We start from the raw sequence: 6,474 nt of genomic DNA on the forward strand, positions 1-6,474 counted from the left end.
AACCACCCCTCAGTGAACACACAGCCTGTGCCTTCTGGGGCTGGGAGGTCAGGGCACCTCTGCCCAGAGGGCTCCTAAGCTGCCTGGGGAGCATCTCCTGCTGGTCACGAAACCCCAGGGAGCCCTGGGCCCCACCCGGCAGGCACAGAGAGCGCTTTGCCACCCAAGACCGAGTTGTCTCCTTCTAACACCACGGTGCACCCCCAGAGGCTGCAGTCAGGAGGGGACAGGGCAGAGGTGTTGTCCCCAAGCACCCTTGCTCCACAGGGCTGGAAAAGAACAGAACTGTCTGGAGTTACTGGTAGTTGCCTTGAGGGGCGATGAGGGAGGGCACATCGCCTGCCCTGTGGCAGAGAAGAGGCAGGCGCCGGGGCCTTCTGGAAGGCGGTGGGGGTCTCGTTAACCCTCCCAGAAGCAGCAGCTTTCCCACTGTGCAAGTACAGGCCCCCCAGGACCTGCCAGAGGCACCAAAACCACGGGTCTCCGTGTGTGTGTGTGTGCATGCTGTGTGCACGTGTATGCATGTGTGTGCCTACGTGTGTGCCTGTGTGTGCCTATGTGTGCTATGTGCATGTGTGTGGTGTGTGCCTGTGTACAGGCCTGTCCCTTAGCAATTGTTGCAGGCCCCATTCCCCCGGGAGACAAGCACTCCTCCCTGCAGCTGTCACCTCACACCCCAGGGCCAGCAGGATGTCTCAGCCCCCTCACCACCCTGCTTCGGTCTCCCGGTCTGTCAACTGGGGCCATTCGATGAGCCTCACCTGAGGTCTCTGCAGACGGCCTGTCCAGGTGGCAGGTGACGAATGCCCGGACACTGGTGGAATCCTATTCCCGGCCCTCCCAGGACTCACTCCAACTCCACAGGCCTTGGGTTGGGGCCCAGACACCTGCCCCTCCTCAAGCTTTCAGGGAAGCTGAGGCGGCCTGGTCTTTGCAGGCAGGTGCAGTGCCATAGTGCACAGCACCCCACCATGACCAGCAGCTGAAACCCCCTTTCCAGCCGCCAAGGCCACCCCACCCGACTTCTCACGGTGTGGCCTCCTGCGGTGTTTCGGTTTTGTGTAAATGGGGTCCCCGCTGCCCCCTCCCATGCTCCTGCACTGGGCCATGCCGAGCAGTGTGTGGTCAGGGCTGTCCCGCCTGGGTGGGTGTTTGGGGGTTTCCGGTGTGGGCTGTGTGGGCCGGAGCTGCCGAGAGCGGGCTTCTGATTTCTGGTTCACGGATGTGCTGCCGGGCCCCAAGGGTGTGTTAGTTCTGCGTTAGCCAAAGCACCAAGACGATGATGTCCCCAGCCGGACTAAGAAGCACGGGGAATGGGTGTCCATAAAGAAGGAGCCGTGCCTGGGCAGAGGGCTGTGCTCGCCCAAGGACAGCGACCCGCGCTCCCCACTTCCTCTCTGGGGACTGGGGGTGGAGGTGCCCCAGAGGCCCCACCAAAGGCAGCCTGAACGGGCCTCCTGAGCCAATGCAGGGCCCCAGGATACTGCTCGGCAGGGCCCTGGAATCGCTTCCCCAGCCCGCCTGCACTTGGCCAGACAAACTGTGTGTTCGTTTGCCTGTTTGTGTGCTTTTGTGGGTGCCAAGCTAGAAGCCACTGAATCTGATCTGTCCCAAGCCACTTGAGCAGCCATTCCTGACACGCGCCACACTGGGCACTGCCCTGGACACCTGCGGGGTCAGAAAGGAGGAACCAGACGCCCGGACCTGCCCCCTAGACCCATGGCCTGGCCCGAGGGAGAGGTGCATGGCTGGCACAGATGCACGGACCTGCCCCCTGGACCTATGGCCTGGCCAGAGGGAGAGGTGCACGGCTGGCACGGACACACAGACTTGCCCCCTGGACCCATGGCCTGGCCCGAGGGAGAAGTGCACGGCTCGCATGGAAGGCCACACATTCCCATCTTGAGGGCAAAGACACCAGGTGTGTGGCAAGGCAGGTGGTCACTCGAGGACACTGCAGAAGCTGCCGGCACTCCCTGGGGCCCTATAAGCAGAAACCCTGCCCAGGGACCTCCTATGGGCTCCAGCTCACATTAATTTCTAGACAGTTCCATTGCGGCTTCGGTGCTTGGTTGGTTTGTCTCCCTGTGGTGAGCACTTTGCCCAGCACTGGAGAAGTTCATGGGCCACTCGCACCTGCCTCTGCTCGCTGAAGGCCTTTTTCCCCAGAGGAAGAGACGCCTCGCTCTCCACAGCTTTCCACTTCAGAGGTCCTTGGAGACTCCACAGGAAATCCCACCAGGAATTTGGGGGTGGAGGCAGCTCTGTTCCCCTGCACCCCAGCTCTGGGCCAGCCCCTTGGCAAGGCCCCTTGGGGGACCCACGTAGAGGGCAGGGGGACCAGGAGCACCCAGCGTCCCAGAGCAGCCCCTCCTCTGGAGAAGCCATGACTGGCTGAAGTTAAGGGGCCTTAAGAAAACAAGCTCTGTGGACCTTAAATGTTTGCTGCTGTCCGAGAGGAGAGTGGAGCACCAGAAGCCATAGACGTCGGTCGGGAGGAGCTGGGTGTCCCTCCCCAGCCCCAAGCCACCAGGGATGCCGAGGAGAACACAGGCTAGGAGAAGCCCCCTCCCCACCCTCTGCCTGGCTCCAGCTTCCGGGAGACGCCCACCCCCTCTTCTCTCCTTCTCCTTCCATCCTTCCGGAGGCTTCCCGGACTTCCCTGCTCTACCACACACACTGTTGGCCAAAATTTACTTTTAAGTATTGATAGAAAAGTCTCTTACTGATAGTATCGTGTGTATTTTTGGGATAATTGAATTCCGCGAGGTGCTTTGTTTTGTTTTTACATGAGCTAGTGGGTCTGGAAGAACCTTCCACAGAGGAGCCCCCGGCTCTGCTCCCAAGCCCTGTCTCTTCCTAACTCCTCGGACTTGAAACTGCCCGGACACGACCTCTGACCCTGCAGGTGTGCAGGGGCAGTTTCCCGGAAGCCATTCCTGTTCTGGACAGCTGTGAGGTACCCATAAGTGACCATGAGCCATCTGCACAGTCATCCCATAACCCCAACTAGATACAGTTTGGGTATCTGTGCCCCCCAAACTGTGCCAACAAGGGGAGGGTGCCTGGGGTGGGGAGAGAGGCTGCCGGGTAGAGAGCGTCAGGTGGGAAACAGGACTGGGCTACACACTTTTGTGGAGTTTGCACCACTCACACCACTCACACCAGCTGCCAGAACACTTCCTGTCCAGGGCCCAGCGCCTCTGGCAGGTGGGAGCCCCATTCAGTGACCGTGGCCCCGCCCCCCCTCCCCCGAGCCTCCAAAGAAAGGAGCCGTTGTTTATCCAGCAACAAGCCGTGTGGATAGTGAGGATCCCGGGAGGGGACAAGGAGCAACTGAACACTGGCTCCATGGGACAAAGGCACCGGCTCTCAGTCTCCAGAGTGTGGTCCCCTGGCTTGTTGAGAAACCCCGCGGGACTGGGGAGGGGGAAGGGGGCAGGGGGCAGAGCAGGTGTGACTAGGACCCAATAGCCAGCGTATGTGTGGCTGGTGCAGTGCTACTTCCGTCCCCCTCCTGAGCCCCCCTTGAATCAAATGGCACCGTCACCCCTGCAGAGCGCGAGAAGCCACCCGCCCGGGAGCTGCTAAACGTCATTAAGTCCCTACGGTGACGGTGACGCAGGCACTGAAAGCTCTGAGAAATAGGCCGGCAGAGGGAGGGAGGGAGGGATCCAGGATGCCAGGCCTTTGTGTCCCCGTCACGCCAGGCTCAGGGACGTCGGGGACATCGTCTGAGCCAGGAAAGAAGGAGGCTGGGGGCTGGGCCCAGGGCAGGGGCCCTGTGTGTATAGGAAGGGAAGCCCCGGGCAGGGAGCCCAGCCCTCCGAACGCAGCCTGCTAAGGGCACCGGGAATTAAGACGTGAAAGGCACACAGCAGAACGCGCGTGGGCCTCGAAAGGCTCCCTCGGAGCTCTTCATGGGCTGGCCCCAGGAGTGTTAGCGAGAGTGCCCACTGTTCCCACCCACGGACCCCCGGGCCCCAGCAGCTACAGCCCGAGCCTTGTTCCTGAGGCCCCGCGCAGTAGGAGAGGAGAGAGCGCCACCCAGAACGGACCTCAGAGAGGGTCCCTCCAGAGGGCACGGGCCCACCCTCCTCTGTCCTTTCCTTGCTGGGCATGACACAGGGAATAAAGTAACTCCGGATAGTCCTTTCCTGGGGTTTAAGGCAATTTTTTTTTTTTTTGAGACGGAGTTTCGCTCTGTCGCCCAGGCTGGAGGGCAATGGCGTGATCTCAGCTCACTGCAAACTCCGCCTCCCGGGTTCAAGCAATTCTCCTGCCTCAGCCTCTCGAGTAGCTGGGATTACAGGCATGCACCACCACGCCTGGCTAATTTTGTATTTTTAGTAGACGGGGCTTCTCCATGTTGGTCAGGCTGGTCTCAAACTCCCGACCTCAGGTGATCTGCCTGCCTCAGCCTTCCAAAGTGCTGGGATTACAGACATGACCCACTGCACCTGGCCAAGGCCAATTTTTAGATACCCATTTTAGACACCCATCCCAGGCTGTGTTCAGGAAAAAGTGAGGTGGGGTGTCAGGAGCTGTGTGAGCCTTGTGGTGCTGAGTGGCCATGGGCAAGCCCCTGCCCTCTGGGCCTCGGCTGGGACACAGGTGTCCCTCCCCTGGCTGGAATCATGCCCAGCATGGGCCCATCCGGCTCCGCCCTGCCCCCCGGCCTCACCTGAGCTCACCACACACAGGCCCATCAGGGAAGCGGGACTGGGCACTCCCTGGCACCCCCGAGAGCCGGGGCCAGGCAGAGAGGCCACACAGGCCCACCTGTGCCCAGGTAGGCAGGTCCCGTAGAACCTGGACAGGTGCATGACCTGGGCAGGGGTGACAGCAGAAACACAGCTCCTCATTAAAGAGAAAACCTCATCCTGGATGTGTGCGTGGGTGTGAGTGTGCTTACTTGTGAGTGTATGGGAGAATGTGTGTGTGGGTGTGAATGGGTGTGATGTCAGCGAGGGTGTATTTTGACAGAGAGTGCTGCTAGGTGTGTGAGTGTATGTATGAAATCACCTCTAATTGTGCATATGACTGCTGTGAGATGATGTTGGGTGTCTGATGGGTGTGTGGTGTGTGCGAGATGATGTGTGGGTGTCTGGTGAGTGTGTAGTGTGTGTGAGATGATGTTGGGTGTCTGATGGGTGTGTGGTGTGTGTGAGATGATGTGTGGGTGTCTGGTGAGTGTGTGGTGTGTGAGATGATGTGTGGGTGTCTGATGGGTGTGTGGTGTGTGTGAGATGGTGTGTGGGTGTCTGATGAGGGAGTGTGTGCTGTGTGTAACCATGTGTCTCTGGTATGTGTGTTATGTATGTGAGTGTGTGGGGAGGTTATGTCTTTGTGGTGTGTATTGTGTGTACCCATGTTGTGTGTGTTTCTCTGTGTGTCCATGGTGTGTTCACAACGTGTACCAGTGGTGTGTGTGTCCATGGTGTGTGTGTGTGTGGTGTGTGTCCCTGGTGTGTGTGGTGTGCGTCCCTGGTGTTTGTGTGTCCCTGATGTGTGTGCATCCCTGGTGTGTGTATGGGTCCCTGGTGTGTGTGCTGTGCGTCCCTGGTGTGTGTGCATCCCTTGTGTGTCTGTCCCTGGTGTGTGTCCCTGGTGTGTGTGGTGTGTGTCCCTGGTGTGTGTGTGGTGTGTGTGTCCCTGGTGTGTGTGTGTCCCTGGTGTGTGTGTTTGCGGGGGTCCCTGGTGTGTGTGGTGTGCGTCCCTGGAGTGTGTGTGGGTCCCTGGTGTGTGTGTGGGTCCCTGGTGTGTGTGGTATGCATCCCTGGTGTGTGTGTGGTGTGCATCCCCGGTGTGTGTGTGTGTGTCCCTGGTGTGTGCAGGGGTCCCTGGTGTGTGTGGTGTGCGTCCCTGGTGTGTGTGGGTGTCCCTGGTGTGTGTGGTGTGCGTCCGTGGTGTGTGTGGGTGTCCCTGGTGTGTGTGGTGTGCGTCCCTGGTGTGTGTGGTGTGTGTCCCTGGTGTGTGTGTGTCTGTCCCTGACGTGTGTGTGTATCTGTGCACACGGCTGCCCACCCACAGGCTGTCCTGGCCAGGTGCCTGGTTCTCCCAGGCCCTGCAGAACACTCTGTGCGGAGTGGGCCCAGGAGGTGGGATTCCTGCAGAGCCGGTCCCTCTGGCCCTCGGGGTCTGCGCATCTTGGACAGTGTCCTGTGGGCTGCTCTGAGCCCAGGCACTGCTTGCAGGGCAGATGGGACACCGGCTGGAGGATGCCCACAGCCCATGGGCTGGTTGCTGCTGTCTCCCGCCTGCCTGCCAGGGGCACAGCCGGGGGTTTAGGGTGCAGCCTCCGGCCCGCTGGCTCAAGTTTCCAGAAGAGTCTGCCACAGACAGATCTCATGTAGCAAAGGGCAGAGGCCAGAGGTGGACTCCACACGGGCCTGCAATGGGTGACTGTGGGCAAGTCACCAAACCACGCAGGGCCTCCTGGTCACCGACCAGTCACCACCCCTGTCCCAGGGT

The 6,474-nt window shown here is 60.2% G+C and overlaps 1 annotated feature.

Moving 5' to 3' along the window:
• Nucleotides 5,622-6,200: an enhancer, noted in NCBI's record as "H3K4me1 hESC enhancer chr21:44805422-44806000 (GRCh37/hg19 assembly coordinates)". NCBI's record gives its function as "activates a minimal SCP1, AML or CMV promoter by ChIP-STARR-seq in naive H9 embryonic stem cells {active_cell/tissue: H9 hESC(naive)}" and the evidence as "EXISTENCE:reporter gene assay evidence [ECO:0000049][PMID:30033119]".

This window comes from Homo sapiens, chromosome 21 (genome assembly GCF_000001405.40).
Source record: "Homo sapiens chromosome 21, GRCh38.p14 Primary Assembly".
NCBI classification, from domain to species: Eukaryota; Metazoa; Chordata; class Mammalia; order Primates; family Hominidae; genus Homo; species Homo sapiens.